Source organism: Homo sapiens, chromosome 19 (genome assembly GCF_000001405.40).
Source record: "Homo sapiens chromosome 19, GRCh38.p14 Primary Assembly".
In the NCBI taxonomy this organism is placed as follows: Eukaryota; Metazoa; Chordata; class Mammalia; order Primates; family Hominidae; genus Homo; species Homo sapiens.
The window spans coordinates 12,683,070-12,698,785 of record NC_000019.10 but is presented as its reverse complement, the minus strand read 5'-3'; the positions used below and the strand labels follow the sequence as shown (position 1 = coordinate 12,698,785).

General features: G+C 54.7%; 2 protein-coding genes across 3 annotated transcripts, besides 3 other annotated features; one reads left to right on the top strand and one right to left on the bottom strand.

The window, feature by feature from the left end:
- Positions 1,826-1,885: an enhancer, noted in NCBI's record as "active region_14073". NCBI's record gives its function as "activates an Ori minimal core promoter by ATAC-STARR-seq in GM12878 lymphoblastoid cells {active_cell/tissue: GM12878}" and the evidence as "EXISTENCE:reporter gene assay evidence [ECO:0000049][PMID:35858748]".
- FBXW9 (F-box and WD repeat domain containing 9) lies at positions 2,155-9,870 on the top strand. Of its 2 annotated transcripts, NM_032301.3 has the most exons (10): positions 2,155-2,613; positions 3,848-3,987; positions 4,064-4,192; positions 7,332-7,444; positions 7,529-7,620; positions 8,676-8,824; positions 8,912-9,025; positions 9,156-9,245; positions 9,349-9,414; positions 9,496-9,870. In NM_032301.3, exons 1-10 carry the CDS (start codon positions 2,205-2,207, stop codon positions 9,568-9,570), a joined length of 1,377 nt encoding a protein of 458 aa, NP_115677.2. In that variant the 5' UTR covers positions 2,155-2,204; the 3' UTR covers positions 9,571-9,870. The 2 variants fall into 2 exon arrangements, with proteins under 2 accessions (NP_115677.2, XP_005260153.1); XM_005260096.5 differs by lacking the exon at positions 3,848-3,987.
- Positions 2,196-2,245: an enhancer, noted in NCBI's record as "active region_14072". NCBI's record gives its function as "activates an Ori minimal core promoter by ATAC-STARR-seq in GM12878 lymphoblastoid cells {active_cell/tissue: GM12878}" and the evidence as "EXISTENCE:reporter gene assay evidence [ECO:0000049][PMID:35858748]".
- Positions 9,871-10,363: 493 nt separating the features above from the next.
- GNG14 (G protein subunit gamma 14) lies at positions 10,364-10,788 on the bottom strand. Its single transcript, NM_001316692.2, has one exon. The coding sequence runs from the start codon at positions 10,735-10,737 to the stop codon at positions 10,414-10,416; it is 324 nt and encodes a 107-aa protein (NP_001303621.1). The 5' UTR covers positions 10,738-10,788; the 3' UTR covers positions 10,364-10,413.
- Positions 15,163-15,685: an enhancer, noted in NCBI's record as "H3K4me1 hESC enhancer chr19:12793915-12794437 (GRCh37/hg19 assembly coordinates)". NCBI's record gives its function as "activates a minimal SCP1, AML or CMV promoter by ChIP-STARR-seq in naive H9 embryonic stem cells {active_cell/tissue: H9 hESC(naive)}" and the evidence as "EXISTENCE:reporter gene assay evidence [ECO:0000049][PMID:30033119]".

Genomic DNA, 15,716 nt, shown 5'->3' with positions numbered 1-15,716 from the left:
TTTTTGAGACCGGGTCTTGCTCCGTCACCCAGGCTGGAGTGCAGTGGCGCAATCATGGCTCAGTGCAACCTCAACCTCCCTGGCTCAACCAGTCCTCCCACCTCAGCCACCCAAGTAGCTGGGACTACAGGTGCATGCCACCATGCTGGCTAATTTTTGTATTTTTTGTAGAGGGGGTTTTCGCTATGTTGCTGAGGCTGGTCTTGAACTCCTGGGCTCAAGCAATCCACCTACTTTAGCCTCCCAAAGTGCTGGGATTACAGGTGTGGGCCACCGCCCCCAGCCAAAATAAAATCTTACTGCAACCTTGGTGTGGCCCAAAGACCAACGTGGGAAAATTTAAAAATACTGACACACATCCAATATTCAACAAATAAGTCCTGCATTCTAGTGAGAGGATAGAGTATAAAAAGTGGAACTGTGCTAAGTCCTATAGAGAAAAACAGGAAGGCAGAGAGAATGGTGGGGGAAACGGTTGAAATCTTATGTAGGGTGACCTGCAAAGGCCACACTGAGAAGACGATGTTTGAACAGAGCCATGGAGAGAAGAGTGTCAAGTAGAGCAAACAGCAAGGACTGCGCAGATGACCTACGTGGATTGGTTAGCTGCCTGGCTCAAAAGAGGCTTGCAGTAAATACCTGCAGTTTTTTTGTTTGAGACGGAGTTTTGCTCTTGTTGCCCAAGCTGGAGTGCAATGATGCCATCTCGGCTCACTGCAACCTCCGCCTCCCAGGCTCAAGTGATTCTCCTGCCTCAGCCTCTGAGCAGCTGAGATTACAGGTGCCTGCCACCACACCCGGCCAATTCTTTGTATTTTTAGTAGGAAGGGGTTTCACCTTGTTGGCCAGGCTGGTCTTGAACTCCTGACCTCAAGTGATTAACCCACCTTGCCTCTCGAAGTGGTGGGATTACAGGCCTGAGCCACCGCACCCGGCCAACATGCTGTTTTAGTAAGTGTGATGTTAGGCCGGGCGCAGTGGCTCACGCCTGTCATCCCATCACTTCGGGAGGCTGAGGCGGGCGGATCACGAGGTCAGGAGTTTGAGACCAGCCTGGCCAACATAGTGCGACCCCGTCTCTACTGAAAAATACAAAAATTAGCCAGGAGTGGTGGCGCGTGCCTGTATTCCCAGCTACTCTAGAGGCTGAGGCAGGAGAATCGCTTGAACCCGGGAGGCGGAGGTTGCAGCCAGCCGAGATCGCGCCACTGCACACCAGCCTGGGTGACAGAGTGAGACTCCGTCTCAGAAAAAAGAAAAAGGTAGCTTTCCACCAGGCGCGATGGTTCACGCCTGTAATCCTGGTACTTTGGGAGACCAAGTTGGGGGCGGATGGCTTGAGCTCAGGAGTTCCAGACCAGCCTGGACAACGTAGTGAAACCCTGTCTTTACAAAAGAATACAAAAATTAGCCGGGTGTGGTGGTGCGCGCCTGTAGTCCCAGCTACCTGGGGGGCCGAGGTGGAGGATCACTTGAGTCCAGAAAGCGGAGGTTGCAATGAGCCAAGCACTCCGCTTGGAGGACTGAACTGCTGTCCTCCAAGGTTGGGTTGGGGAATGGGGTCTGGAGAGGTAGTTCTGAGGCCCCAGTTCCTTTCTCAAAAAAAAAAAAAAAAAAAAAAAAAGTCACTTAACTGATGCCTCTGCAGTGTAACTGCATATTTCTGGCTCTGGGAAAAGAGGCAAGAGTTCCAATCTCTACTCCTTGAACTCGGAAAGGGGCCTTTGGGTTTCTAAGCTCAGTGTCACATATAACAGATGCCTTCGTTAAAGCAGTGTTTATTTTATGTCTAATTTAAAGAGACAGGGTCTCACTATGTTGCGCAGGTTGGAGTACAGTGGCACAACCATGGCTCACTGCAGTCTCGAACTCCTGGACTCAAGGGATCCTACCCCTTCACCTTCCTGAGTATCTGGAACTACAGGCGCGCGCCACCCCGCCTGGCTTGAGTTTCGTTTTTAGCTAGAGTTGGCTGGCTCTCGGTATCGGCTAGTTTAAAAAGCGCAGAAACAGGAACCTGCATTTTCCAGCCTAAGGCCGACGCAGTTGCAAGAGACCCTGTAAGCGGGGCGATGTTCTGTATTAAGCCAGTGTCTGACTTCGTCGCTTCCGGTGGGCGCATAAACGTCATCAGACAGCGCCGGAAGTGCCCTCGTGCTGCCTAGGAGACAAGACGCGAGGCCGGCAGCGCCCACCCGGTCGCAATGGAGCTTCCCCTAGGGCGGTGCGATGATTCCCGCACCTGGGACGATGACTCGGACCCAGAGTCAGAGACAGACCCAGACGCGCAGGCCAAGGCCTACGTGGCCCGCGTTCTCAGTCCGCCAAAATCCGGGCTGGCGTTCTCGCGCCCCTCGCAGCTATCCACACCCGCCGCGTCCCCGAGCGCTTCGGAGCCTCGGGCCGCGTCCAGGGTTTCGGCCGTAAGTGAGCCGGGCCTTCTGAGCCTTCCCCCGGAGCTGCTGCTCGAGATCTGCTCCTACCTGGACGCCCGCCTCGTGCTCCACGTCCTGTCGCGGGTGTGCCACGCGCTCCGCGACCTCGTGTCTGACCATGTCACCTGGAGGCTACGCGCGCTACGCCGCGTACGCGCGCCCTACCCAGTGGTGGAAGGTGCGCGGGGCCGGGGGCCGGGGACCGGGGGCCGGGGGCGCCCGCCCAGGTCAGGCTTGGGGCGGGGAAGAGGTACATGGGGTGTTCCGGATGCAGCCTCTGGTGCAGGCTTCGTGGCTGTCCTGGCTCAGGCTGGAGGCTAAGGTAGTTACTGGTGGTGCCGAAGCCCCTGAGGACCTCTGGGTGGACCACGAGGCAGTCAGGCACTTGGGGTCCTGAGGCTGTGAAACCCTAACATGGGGCTGTGGTTCCTGGACGACTCAGGATCCAAATATCCTCAGTCTTGGGGTCTTGTGGTACTAAGCCACTGACCCCTGATTGGGGATTGACACAGGGACTTGAAGTCTTAGGCTCTGGAGTTTATGCTGGGGCTCAAAGTGAGCCCAAGGATCCTCAGGTTCTGAGTCCAGCTTAGAAGCTGAGACAGCACCTGTTGATGTCAAAACTCCTGAGCCCTAGAGCCTTGACCCAGTTAGGGGTGAGACAGTGGCTCTTGGCCCTGAGTTGATTGGTTCCTGAGGGAAGACAGCTTGGGACCTTTGAATCGATATTGTTGATCCTGATACAGCTGGATCCTCAGGCCCTTAAGCCAAGATGTATTACAGCTTGGGTGTTTGATACCCTTAACCTGGAAGCTTTGATTCTGCTTAGAGAGGAATCAGGATCACTCCGGGATCAGTGATTCTCAAGGTGTTGCCATCCAACCCCCAGGTCAGACTCTCCCAAACAGCTTAATAAACATAGATGCTTGGACCCCGTCCATATCACAGAATCTGCATCTGGGGCTTGCATTCTGCATCTTGACAAGGCTCCCTGGTTTCCAGATACTGTTTGAGAAACAGCCCCCTTGGTCTGGTTCAGATGGCTGAGGCAGGAAGGGTTAGTCATGAGGTCCCAGCTTCTATGCTGAGCCTGAGGTCAGACCTCAACATCCTGAGACTGCTCTGCCCTGAGTTTGGGTTGGGGGATGGCGCCTGGAGAGGTAGTTCTGAGACCCCAGTTCCCAATTTCTGGAAATTGGAGTGAGTAGTCCTAGACCTGCCTGGGAAATGGGCAGGCAGGTGGTCCCAAGACCACAGCCTGGGTCGGCTTGGGGTGGGAGTAGGGATCTCCATGGGGTTCTGTCCAAGTCTGGTGTAGTGTGGGCTCCCTGGAAGCCAGGGTTGGGCTTGGCCAGCTGGCATGGGTGCTAGGGTCCCTGCCCACTGGGCACCCTACTCGTGGTAACCCACAGAGAAGAACTTTGACTGGCCGGCAGCCTGCATTGCGCTGGAGCAGCACCTGTCCCGCTGGGCAGAGGATGGGCGCTGGGTCGAATACTTCTGCCTGGCCGAAGGCCACGTGGCTTCCGTTGACTCAGTGCTGCTGCTCCAGGTGAGACGGGGTCTGTGGGGGGCCAGGCAGGGTGGGCCAGGGTGGCCCTGACAACATCACCTTGCTCCCTTTCCAGGGTGGGTCACTCTGTCTGTCGGGCTCCCGAGATCGCAACGTCAACTTGTGGGACCTGCGGCAGCTGGGGACGGAGTCCAACCAGGTTCTGATCAAGACCTTAGGCACTAAGCGAAATAGTACCCATGAGGTGAGGAGTCAGGTGGGGATAGGAGGTATGAGGCCTGAGTAGGGCATCTTGGTTAAGGCCCCAGGTTTTGGTACAGGACCGCATAGATTTGAATCTGACTTTTCTAACCTTGGTGTGACTTTGAGTGAGATGTGTGACTTCTCTGTGCCTCAGTTTCTACTTCTGTCCAGTGGGTGATTAGGATGAGGATGAAGGAGATGCATTATGCATTAATGTGGACATGCATTAAGCTCAGGCTTTTTTTTTTTTTTTTTTTGAGACGGAGTCTCGTTCTGTCACCCAGGCTGGAGTGTGGCATGATCTCAGCTCACTGCAACCTCTGCTTCCCGGGTTCAAGCGGTTCTCCTGCCTCAGCCTCCTGAGTAGCTGGGACTACAGGTGCATGCCACCACACCTGTCTAATTTTTTTTTTTTTTTTTTGAGATGGAGTCTCACTCTGTTGCTAGGCTGGAGTGTAGTGATGCAATCTCGGCTCACTGCAACCTCTGCCTCCCAGGTTTAAGCAATTCTCCTGCCTCAGCCTCCTGAGTAGCTAGGACCACCATGCCCAGCTAATTTTTTTATTTTTGGTAGAGACAGGGTTTCACCATGTTGGTCAGGATGGTCTCGATCTCCAGACCTCGTGGTCTGCCCGCCTCAGCCTCCCAAAGTGCTGGGATTACAGGCATGAGTCACCTGGCCTTTATTTATTTATATTTTTATTGAGACAGAGTCTCCCTCTGTCACCCAGGCTGGAATGCAATGGCATGATCTCGGCCCACTGCAACCTCTGCCTCCGGGATTCAAGTGATTCTCCTGTCTCAGCCTCCCAAGTAACTGGGATTACAGGTGCCTGCCACCATGCCCAGCTAATTTTTTTTTTTTAATGGAATCTCACTCTGTTGCTCAGGCTATAGTGCAGTGGCACAATCTCAGCTCACTGCAACCTTGCCTCCTGAGTAGCTGGAATTATAGGCATGTGCCACCATGCCCAGCTAATTTCTTTTGTGTGTGTGTGTGTGTGTGTGTGTGTGTGTGTGTGTGTGTGTGTGTATATATATATATATATATATATATATATATATTTTTTTTTTTTTTTTTTTTTTTTTTTTTCCTTTAGTAGAGACGAGGTTTCGCCATGTTGGCCAGGCTGGTCTCAAACTCCTGGCCTCAAGTGATCTGCCTGACTCAGCCTTCCAAAATGCTAGGATTACAGGCATGAGCCACGGTGCCCAGCCAAGCTCAGGCTTTGACACACAGTAGGTGCTCAATAGACGTCAGGTACACCTTGAGAGGCCCAGTGTAAAGCAGTTATGAGACTACCCTTGGAGATCAGCCAACTCTGAGCATGACTGTCATCTCGTGAGAGGTGGCTGTGGAGGAGCATCTCCACCAGTCGCTAAGGTGGTCAGGCCGGTAGCTGAGAGCTTGGGCTTGGGGCCAGGATGCTGGGTTCAAATTCTCACTGTGCTGCTTCCTGGCTGTGTGACCTTGAGTGAGAAACTCAACCTCTCTGGGGCCCAGTTTCCCCATTTGTAAAATGAGATACACAATATTGCCCTCCTCAGCGGGATTGGTGGGCAAAAAGTCAGCATTCAGCACCCTGTGCATATTAGCTCCTGAGGCAAGGGATGTTTTCTGCCCAATTTGCTGATGAATGAACTGAGGGAGGTGATATGGTTTGCCAGGTCACAAAGTAGAGGCCACACTCTTAATCACTTGTCATGTGGCTTCAAACCACCACTGGTGCTGAGTTCTTGCAGAACTTGACTTAGAAATGTTATTGGGCCAGGGTGCAGTTAGTTGCTCAGGCCTGTAATCCTAACACTTTGGGAGGCCGAGGCAGGAGGATTGCTTGAACCCAGGAGTTCGAGACCAGCCTGGGCAACATGGGAGACCCTGACTCTACAAAAAATACCAAATAATTAGCCAGGCGTGGTGCGTGGGCACCTGTAGTCCCAGCGACTCGGGAGGCCGAGGCAGGAGAATGGCATGAACCCGGGAGGCGGAGCTTGCAGTGAGCCGAGATCATGCCACTGCACTCCAGCCTGGGCGACAGAGCGATACTATGTCTCAAAAAAAAAAAAAAGACCGGATGCAGTGGCTCACGCCTGTAATCCCAGCACTTTGGGAGGCTAAGGCAGGCGGATCATCTGAGGTCAGGAGTTCGAGACCAGCCTGACCAACATGGAGAAACCCCGGCTCTACTAAAAATACAAAATTAGCTGGCGCGGTGGCACATGCCTGTAATCCCAGCTACTAGGGAGGCTGAGGCAGGAGAATTGCTTGAACTCGGGAGGCGGAGGTTGTGGTGAGCCGAGATCGTATCATTGCACTCCAGCCTGGGCAACAGGAGCAAAACTCCATCTCAAAAAAAAAAAAAAAAAATTAGCAGAGTGTAGTGGCATGCACCTGTAGTCCCAGCTCTTTGGGAAGCTGTGGTACAAGGATTGCTTGAGCCTGGGATGTGGAGGCTGCAATAAGCCATGATCGCACCACTGCATTCATGCCTGGATGACACAGCAAGACCTTGTCTCAAAAAAAAAAAAAGAGTTCCTGGGCCAGGCACAGTGGCACATGCCTGTAATCCCAGCACTTTGGGAGGCTGAAGCGGGCGGATCACCTAAGGTCAGGAGTTTGAGACCAGCGTGGCCAACATGGTGAAACCCCGTCTCTACTAATAATACAAAAATTAGCCGGGCGTGGTGGCACAAGCGTGTAATCCCAGCTACTAGAGAGGCTGAGGCAGGAGAATCACTTGAACACGGGAGGCAGAGGTTGCAGTGAGCCAAGATCAAGCCACTGCACTCCAGCCTGGATGACAAAAGTGAAACTCCGTCTCCAAAAAAAAAAAGTTTCTGGGTGGGGTGTGCCTTTCCTGGACTCTGAAGTCAGGCTGACCCATGGACACAAACTTTAATCTGTACTCAACTTGAACTTGCTCTGGTTTCATCTATGCAATGGGGGTGATCACCTGGAGCCAGAGTTGGGTGTTGTACTTGCTGCAGCATCTATCACCATGGGCACTGGGGAGGAAGAGCTATGTGGCTTTGGGTGAGTCTCTTGACCTCTCTGAGCCTTACCTGCAAAAACAGAACGATCCCAGTCTGGGACCCCCATGGGCTGTGGCAGGTGTGTGACTGCTGCTCCTGTCCTGCAGGGCTGGGTGTGGTCACTGGCAGCGCAGGACCACCGCGTGTGCTCCGGCTCCTGGGACAGCACAGTGAAGCTCTGGGACATGGCAGCGGATGGGCAGCAGTTCGGCGAGATAAAGTGTGTGGGGGCCTGGGCAGGGGGCCTGCGGGGATAGGACCCTGTCTGGCCACAGCCAAAGCCCTGTGGTCTGTGTGTCCCTAGGGCCAGCTCAGCCGTGCTGTGCCTCTCCTACCTGCCTGACATCCTGGTGACTGGCACCTATGACAAGAAGGTGACCATCTACGACCCCAGAGGTGGGCCAAGGGTCCTGGGGCCCAGGTTGGGAGATGTCATGTTAGGGAAGGAGACACTGGGGCTTCACAGCCTGGCTGGGGTCATAGTCACTTAACCAAATACTCACCACTCAGAGTGGCCATGCTGTGCTGGTACAATACAGGCAACTTGGGCAGCGGGTGAAGGTGAAGCTTGGGCAGCCCTGGGGGCGGGTTAGAGTTCTGGCTGTCCCACTGCCTAGCTGTGTGACCTCCAGACAAGCTTGAACCTCGGTTTCCCCATCTTTGAAATCCAGATAATAATACCACAGCAGCCCCATGGGGTTAATGGGGGAAGATGATAATAGGAACAGTGGTGGATTAACTACGTTTTTTTATGCTGGATGTGGTGGCGCCTACCTGTAGTCCCAGCTACTCCAGAGGCTGAGGCAGTAGAGACAAGGTTTCACCATGTTGGCCAGGCTGGTCATGAACTCCTGACCTCAGGTGATCCACCCACCTCAGCTTCCCAAAGTGCAGGGATTACAGATGTGAGCCACCGCGCCCGGCCATTTTTCTTTTTTTTAAATGGAGAACGGGGTCTTGCCACGTTGCCCAAGGTGATCTTGAACTCCTGGGCTCGGATGATCTGCCCATATCAGCCTCCCAAAATTCTGAGATTACAGGTGTGAGCCACTGTGCCTGGCCTATTTATTCATTCTACTTTTGTTAATTGAAGGGCCAGTGTACCTTGTCCAGGCAGAGCTGGAGCGGGGCTGCGGGATAGGCATGTTTCAGGCCAACCTGAGGGTGGATGCAAGACTGAGACCACCTTGGTCAGCTCTGTGCTAAGAACAGTAGATGGGATCGGAGGAGGGATATGGGATGTGGACGGGGATGGGCAGAGGCCTGGGGCTCCTGTGGAAGCCTGGATTTACCTGAGGCGGGAGAGGAGAGATGGGTCACTCTGTGGGGTGGGGGAATGAGCAGATCGAGGGTTTTGCCAGACAGGATGGAGACCCGGGATGCTCTCATGGGCTGGGGGGGGCCTTCGAGGGGCTCTGATATCCCTCCTCACCGGCCCATCACCCATGAAGCCGGCCCAGCCCTGTTGAAGCACCAGCAACTACACTCCAGACCCGTGCTGACCCTGCTGGCGGATGACCGGCACATCATCTCAGGCAGCGAGGACCACACCCTGGTGGTGGTGGACCGCCGAGCCAACAGCGTCCTGCAGCGTCTGCAGGTGGGCCCTCCCCAGGGGCCTGGAGGGATGGGGACTGTTGCAGGCCCAGCCCGGCCTGAGCTGTCCCGTCCCTTGTCCCTCTCGTAGCTGGACTCCTACCTGCTCTGCATGTCCTACCAGGAACCCCAGCTCTGGGCTGGTGACAACCAGGGCCTGCTGCACGTCTTCGCCAACCGCAACGGCTGCTTCCAGCTTATCCGGGTCTGCTGGAGCTCCTGCCCCTGACTGTCCCTCCCCCCGGGCTTCCTTCCTACCCGAGCCCCTGGTGGTGTGGGGGAGGGCGGGCCTTGGGAGAGCCTCGACTGAGTGTTGCCTGATCCTCCTCCTGCAGTCCTTTGATGTGGGCCACAGCTTTCCCATCACTGGGATCCAGTACTCCGTGGGAGCCTTGTACACCACATCCACTGACAAGACCATCCGGGTGAGGCTCCTGCCCAGCCCCCACCCCAGGACAGTCCCTGCCTCTCCCCTACCTCCATCAGCCAGGGGCACACCTCTTGACCTCGCCCATTGCCCCTCACTAGGTGCACGTGCCCACAGACCCACCAAGGACCATTTGCACCCGAAGGCATGACAATGGGCTCAATAGGGTAAGGTCCTGCCCCATGTGCCCTGCCCAGCTGGCCAGAGCGCCATCGTCCCTGACTCCTCATGTTCCTCCCCCTTCCCAGGTCTGTGCTGAGGGCAACCTGGTGGTGGCCGGCTCTGGAGACCTGTCGCTAGAGGTCTGGAGGCTGCAGGCCTGAGCAGGTGGGCGTGGATGTGGATACTGCCTGCCGGAGGCTGGGCTTCCTCCTCTGTTCTTGGGGGACCATCCCCAATGTTGGTGCTGCCTCCGCCCCGTGGGCCTAGGGCACAAGGAGTCCCAGCCACATTCGGGTGAGCGTCCTGGCCTGGGCCCTATGCCCGGGGGAAGGGTGAAATTGGGGTTCAGGCCCACCCAGGGGGCCGCTTCCCACTCTTGGGCCCTGGTTTTGTTATGATTTGGATGCCCCGCTCTCAGTTGAGAGCGAAGGAGAAATAAACCTGACATGTTGGTGCTTGGGCCTGGAGTGTGAGTGTGGTTTGCCTGCTGGGGTTCTGCCTGTGCCTGCTTGGGGCTGTGGGGCTGCGGGCCTGCATGGGAGTGACTGGGAGAGATAGCAAGTCTGGGCTGGGGGTGCATGTCAGCTGTTGCTGTGCATTTGAAGAGGGAGAGTCCTGAGGATCGTGGGCATCTGTGTCTATGATGTCACGTGTGTGTGTGATGTGTGACGCGTGTGGTGTATAGATTATGACTCAAATCCTGGCCATTTGTCTGCACGGTGGGAAAGGGTACCTGCTCAGGCTATCCCATGGGTGCTGGCGAGGGCAAGAGGGATGGCGTGCTCTCCGTCTGGGGCTCCAGGGTGTGTGTGTGCTGCTGTGGCTGTGACCCCGGGGGCAGGCAGGGAGGGAGGCTGGGCCAGGTACGCACCTGGCCCCTGCAAGCCCAAAGTCCCTCTGGTCTCCCATCTCAGCCCAGCTCAGCCATGCCCTGAGAAGTATTCACTTCATGTTTATTGAGGCCCCCTGGTTTGCCCAGGCCACAGGGTGGCATTGCCCTGGGTTCATAGGATGGCATAGGGCTTCTTCTCCTTGAAGGAGTTGGTGGCGGCCGGGATGCCCACAAGGAAGGGGTCATTCTTGGCCTGCTCCGTGCAGAACTTCAGCAGATCGGCGGCCATCTTTGGACACCTGCAGACCAACTGGTTCAGCCAGACCAGACCCAGGCATGCACCTGTCCCCTGGCCCATGTGTTCCCACCTCTTCCCGCCTCCTGCACTGGCCCCGACCCTCACCTTCACTTGGTCGATGCCTGCCTCCATCTGGAGCTGCTCCACTGCCCAGAGGGCCTGCCCAATGTCACTGTTGATGGCCACCTTGCTGGACATCTGGGTAAAGTGGGCAGGCCGTGGGCAGCAGGCCCAACCTCAGTCCCCTAGGGGGAGCCTAGGGCTGCCCGAGGGTTCCCACACCTCCTTCTATGTTCCTTGGGGGCTGCAGGATGAGGGTGGCTGCTCCTGGACCCATCAGGCCCACACACCTCGGCTAAGGGCTCCGGCCCAAGTCACCTCTGGCTGCCTGGTCCTCTGGTGGCCACCCTGCTGTGGCTCCCTCCCCAACCCAGCCTGTCCTCTTCAACCCCCTTTTCTCCCTCGGCTACCCCTGCAAAGACTTTGAAGCCAGGGCTCTCATGGAGTGAAATGTCACCAGCTGCAGCAGCAGCTGCTGCCTCGGCTGAGGGGGTCCCTGCCCCAGGAGGCCCTGTGGCTCCTCTGGTGTCATGTGTCACCTGGGTCCCTGTGGGCTAGGTGCCTTGGCTGGGGGAGTGAGGAGGCCCTGGCCTCCCCCTGGCCTGCTGGATCTCCTGCTAACTGTTCCCAACACATCTGCTTTGTCAGCCTCTGCCATCTCCAACATGCAGCCTTGCCTCTCCTCCTGTTGTCGCCACTGCTCAGGCTCAAATCTCCAATGCCTTCGTTCTTTTTTTTTTTTTTTTTTTTTTTTTTGAGAGAGAGTCTTGCTCTATCACCCATGTTGGAGTGCAGTGGTGCGATCTCAGCTCACTTTCAACCTCCACCTCCCGGGCTCAAGTGATTCTCCTGCCTCAGCCTCCTGAGTAGCTGGGATTACAGGCGTATGCTACCACACCCGGCTAATTTTTTTTTTTTTTTTTTTTTTGAGATGGTATTTCGCTCTTGTTGCCCAGGCTAGAGTGCAATAGCGTGATTTCGGCTCACTGCAACCTCCGCCTTCTGGGTTCAAGCGATTCTTCTGCCTCAGCCTCTCGAGTAGCTGGGATTACAGGCATGTGCCACCATGCTCGGCTAATTTTTTGTATTTTTAGTAGAGATGAGGTTTCACCATGTTGGTCAGGCTGGTCTTGAACTCCTGATCTCAGGTGATCCACTTGCCTCAGCCTCCCAAAGTGCTGGGATTACAGGCATGAGCCACTGCGCCCGGCCACACCTGGCTAATTTTTGTATTTTTAGTAGAGAAGGGGTTTCACCATGTTGGCCAGGCTGGTCTCGAACTCCTGACCTCAAGTGATCCACCTGCTTCGGCCTCCCAAAGTGCTGGGATTACAGGTGTGAGCCATCGTGCCTGGCCTTCTTTTCTTTTTTTAAGCCCAGGTTCTCGCTCTGTCGTCCAGGCTGGAGTGCAGTGGTACAATCATAGCTCACTGTAACTTCAAACTCCTGGGCTCAAGTGATCCTCTCAACTCAGCCTCCTGATTAGCTAGAATTATAGGCGTGAGCCACCGTGCCCTGCTAATTTATGTTTTTAACTTTTTGTAGAGATGGTTCTTACTATGTTGCCCAGGCTGGTCTTGAACTCCTGGCCTCAAACGATCCTCTTGCCTTGGCCTTCCAAAGGAATTATAGGCATAAGCCACTGAGCCCTGCCCCGAGATTCTAATATGTGCCCAGCACTGTGCAAAAACCCAAATTAGCAATGAAACAAGACAAAACCTTGCCCTCATGGAGCTGCCTTTCTAGTTAGGCAGGGATGGACAACAGAAAATGTACTCAGTGAAAGAGTATACATGTGAAAGGGCATATGAAAGAAGAATAAAATCAAAGTAAAGGGGAGAGGAGTGGTCAGGGCAGGCCTCTCAGAGGAGGTGACATTTGAACTTAGGCCCAAAGGAGGAGAAGGAACTGAGAAATGGGGTGTTCTAGGCAGAAGGAGCGGCAAGTACCTGACTCCTTGGACAAAAAAGAGCTTGGTGGGTTCCAGGAATAGCAAAGAGGTCTGTGTAGCTGGAGAGGAGAGAGGGAGGGAGGGCCAGCATGGTGGGAGATGGCAGCAGGGAGGTTGAGAGGTGCCCTTTAAGGCCACTGTGAAAAGCTTGGATTTTACTCCCAGGGGGAAGCTACCATTAGGAGGTTTTAACAGTGACATGTTTGATTTATGGTTAAAGAGCTGTGGCATGCACCTGTAGTCCCAGCTACTGGGGAGGCTGAAGTGGGAGGATCACTTGAGGCCAGGAGGTCGAAGCTGCAGTGAGGTGTGATTGTCCCACTGCACTCCAGCCCTGGTGACAGAGTGAGACCCTGCATCAAAAAAAAAAGCTCAGCGGCTGGGCACGGTGGCTCATGCCTGTAATCCCAGCACTTTGGGAGGCTGAGGTGGGCGGATCACGAGGTCAGGAGATCAAGACCATCCTGGCTAACATGGTGAAACCCCGTCTCTACTAAAAATACAAAAAATTAGCTGGGCGTGTGGCGGGCGCCTGTAGTCCCAGCTACTTGGGAGGCTGAGGCAGGAGACTGGCGTGAACCCGGGAGGTGGAGCTTGTAGTGAGCCGAAATCACACCACTACACTCCAGCCTGGGCGACAGAGCAAGACTCCGTCTCAAAAAAAAAAAAAAAAAAAAAAAAGCTCTCTGATTTTAGCTGTTAGGTGGGAGATGGGTTGGAGGATACCAAAGCCAGCTTGCAGGCTATGGGGATAAAGAAAACACCTGGATTTCGGACCTACTTTATAGGTAGAGGTTGGCAGACATGCTGAGAAGGATGGATGTGGGGTGTGAGAAAAGGGGAGACAGCAAGCTGCGCTCCTCATTTTTAATTTTTATTTATCTATTTTTGAGACGGAGTTTCGCTCTGTTGCCCAGGCTGGAGTGCAGTGGCACCATCTCAGCTCACTGCAACCTCCACCTCCCGGGTTCAAGTGATTCTCCTGCCTCAGCCTCCTGAGTAGCTGGGATTATGGGTGTGCGCCACCACACCCGGCTAATTTTTGTATTTTTTAGTAGAGACGGGGTTTCGCCATGTTGTCCAGGCTGGTCTCTAACTCCTAACCTCAGGTGATCTGCCCTCCTTGGCATCCCAAAGTGCTGGGATTACAGGTGTGAGCCACCGCGCCCAGCCCCAATCCCTATTTTTCAGTCTAGTGGATGAGTGGAGGGTGGGGCCGTTTGCTGAGATGCAGAAAGATCAGGGATAGGTGGAGAGGGAGCTGAGGGGGCAACTTTGAGGTCCAAGCGAGGATGTCAAGGAGGATGTCTGTCTCCTCCAACAAGGTAGGCTCATTCCAGCCTCACGGCTTTTGCTGTTCTGTCTTCCCATGTGCAGGAAATGGCCTCTCTGCATCTTCACATACGGGGATTTTCTCAGCCTTCTGGCTTTGGCTCAAATCTCACCTCCTTGGCGTCCTTCACCCATCCCTCCAACTAAAATCCCGAACTCCTCCACCTAAAGACTCAAATTATCCTGTTTAAATCCTGATTGCGCTGGGCGCGGTGGCTCACACCTGTAATCCCAGCACTTTGGGAGGCCGAGGCAGGCAGATCACCTGAGGTCAGGAGTTCGAGACTAGCCTGACCAACATAGTGAAACCCCATCTCTACTAAAAATACAAGAATTAGCCGGGCGTGATGGCTCATGCCTGTAATCCCAGCTACTCGGGAGGCTGAGGCAGGAGAATTGCTTGAAACTGGGAGGCAGAGGTTGCGATGAGTGGAGATCGCGCCATTGCACTCCAGCCTGGGCAACAAGAGCGAAACTCTGTCTCCAAAAAAAACAAAAAACAAAAAAGGCCTGATAGCACTCACCACTATTGTTAACTTTCTATCTTCCCAATCAGATTGTGGGCTCCAGTAGGGCAGGGTCCACATCTTGGTCTTGTTCACCACTAAATCCTTAGTGCCTAGCACGGAGCCCACCATAGAGAATAGACTACATGAATTGTAGAGTGAGTGAATAATCCTGTTGGCCGTATGCACTGTTAGGAGGGTGTGTTTGAGATACAGATGACACCCAGGGTCTCACATTCTTGCAGGAGGGAAAGAGACGTCAGCCCTGGGTCCCAGAAGAGGCCACTGACCCAGTGGGAGTTCAGGGAAGGCTTCCCAGAGGAGGTGGAGGTGACAGCTGCAGCTATAAGGGAAGGAAGAACAGAGCGTTATGCAGCATGTGAAGGCTTTGGAGACTTGTGAGGGCACGAACCGGGCTCACTATCCCATTAGACAAAAGTGGCTGAGGAAGGATGAAACTGTGTCTAACTCTGCCTGGTGACCGAAATCTTGTCCATGGGTGACGCTTAAGAAGTGACCCTCGGCCGGGCGCAGTGGCTCACGCCTGTAATCCTGGCACTTTGGGAGGCCAAGGCGGGCGGGTCACGAGTTCAGGAGATCGAGACCATCCTGGCTAACACGGTGAAACCCCATCTCTACTAAAAACAGAAAAAATTAGCCGGGTGTGGTGGCGGGCACCTGTAGTCCCAGTTACTCGGGAGGCTGAGGCAGGAGAATGGCATGAACCTGGGAGGCAGAGCTTGCAGTGAGCCGAGATTGCGCCACTGCACTCCAGCCTGGGCGACAGAGCGAGACTCTGTCTCAAAAAAAAAAAAAAAAAAAAAAGTGACCCTCATAAAAAAATTAGCTGGGCACGATGGTGCACACTAGTCGGAATGCTGGGGTGGGAGGATGACCTGAGTCCGGGAGTCAGAGGTTGCAGTGGGCCGAGATCGCGTCACAGCACTCCAGCCTGGCGACAGAGTGAGACCCTATCAAAAAATAGCAGCAGGCCAGGCGCGGTGGCTCATGCCTGTAATCCCAGCACTTTGGGAGGCTGAGGCGGGCGGATCACGAGGTCAGGAGATCGAGACTACCCTGGCTAACACGGTGAAACCCCGTCTCTACTAAAAATACAAAATATTAGCCGGGCGTGGTGGCCGGCGCCTGTAGTCCCAGTTACTGGGGAGGCTGAGGCAGAAGAATGGCGTGAACCTGGGAGGCGGAGGTTGCAGTGAGCCGAGATCGTGCCACTGCACTCCAGCCTGGGAGACAGCGCAAGACTCTAGCTCAAACAAACAAACAAACAAAACAGCAACAACAACAACAAAACCATCCTCCCCTCCCGA